Genomic DNA, 1,717 nt, shown 5'->3' with positions numbered 1-1,717 from the left:
ACCACACCCACACACCACACCCACACACCCACACCCACACCCACACCCACACACCACACCCACACACACCACACCCACACACACCCACACACCACACCCTAACCCTAACCCTAACCCTAACCCCTAACCCCTAACCCCTAACCCCTAACCCCTAACCCCTAACCCTAACCCTAACCCTAACCCTAACCCTAACCCTAACCCTAACCCTAACCCTAACCCTAACCCTAACCCTAACCCTAACCCTAACCCTAACCCTAACCCTAACCCTAACCCTAACCCTCACCCTAACCCTAACCCTAACCCTAACCCTAACCCTAACCCTAACCCTAACCCTAACCCTAACCCTAACCCTAACCCTAACCCTAACCCTAACCCTAACCCTAACCCTAACCCTAACCCTAACCCTAACCCTAACCCTAACCCTAACCCTAACCCTAACCCTAACCCTAACCCTAACCCTAACCCTAACCCTAACCCTAACCCTAACCCTAACCCTAACCCTAACCCTAACCCTAACCCTAACCCTAACCCTAACCCTAACCCTCCCTACCCTACCCTACCCTACCCTAACCCCTAACCCCTAACCCCTAACCCCTAACCCTAACCCTAACCCCTAACCCTAACCCTAACCCCTAACCCCTAACCCTAACCCTAACCCCTAACCCCTAACCCTAACCCTAACCCTAACCCTAACCCTCACCCTCACCCTCACCCTCACCCTCACCCTCACCCTAACCCTACCCTAACCCCTAACCCCTAACCCTAACCCTAACCCTACCCTAACCCTAACCCCAACCCCAACCCTAACCCCTAACCCCTAACCCTAACCCTTAACCCTAACCCCAACCCCAACCCCAACCCCAACCCCAACCCCTAACCCCAACCCCAACCCCAACCCCAACCCCACCCCTACCCCTACCCCAACCCTAAACCCAAACCCTAACCCCAACCCCAACCCCAACCCCAACCCCAACCGCAACCCCAACCCCAACCCTCACCCTCACCCTAAGCACATGAGGAATGTGGGTGTTATATTTTGGGTATCATGTGTGCATTAGGAATGCTGCATTTGCGTTCCGACGCTGCAAGTGGACCCTGCAATGCAGCCCCTCCCCTTGCCTTGGGAGAATCTCGGTGCGCAGCATTCAGAGGGGCTTTTGCTTTCCCGTTTTCCGCACTGAACCGCTCTAACTGGTCTCTCACCTTGATTATTCATGGCTGCAACCGGGAAACATTTTTATTCACCGTTGATGCGCCCCGAGTTGTCCCAAAGCCAGTCAGTGGCCCCAACGTCTGTGCTTAGGGGAATGCTGCTCCACCTTTACGGTGACCCCCAGGTCTGTACTGAGCAGAACGCAGCTCCGCCCTCGCGGTACCCTCAGCCCGCCCGCCCGGGTCTGACCTGAGGAGAACTCTGCTCCGCCTTCGCAGTACCACCGAAATCTGTGCAGAGGACAACGCAGCTCCGCCCTCGCGGTGCTCTGCCGCTCTGTGCTGACGAGAACGCAACTCGGCCGTCGCAAAGGCGCGCCGCGCCGGCGCAGGCGCAGAGAGGCGCGCCGCGCCGGCGCAGGCGCAGAGAGGCGCGCCGCGCCGGCGCAGGCGCAGAGAGGCGCGCCGCGCCGGCGCAGGCGCAGAGAGGCGCGCCGCGCCGGCGCAGGCGCAGAGAGGCGCGCCGCGCCGGCGCAGGCGCAGAGAGGCGCGCCGCGCCGGCGCA

The sequence above is a fragment of the Homo sapiens genome, chromosome X (assembly GCF_000001405.40).
Source record: "Homo sapiens chromosome X, GRCh38.p14 Primary Assembly".
In the NCBI taxonomy this organism is placed as follows: Eukaryota; Metazoa; Chordata; class Mammalia; order Primates; family Hominidae; genus Homo; species Homo sapiens.
The sequence above is the reverse complement of the archived record's forward strand: the minus strand, read 5'-3'. Positions refer to the sequence as shown.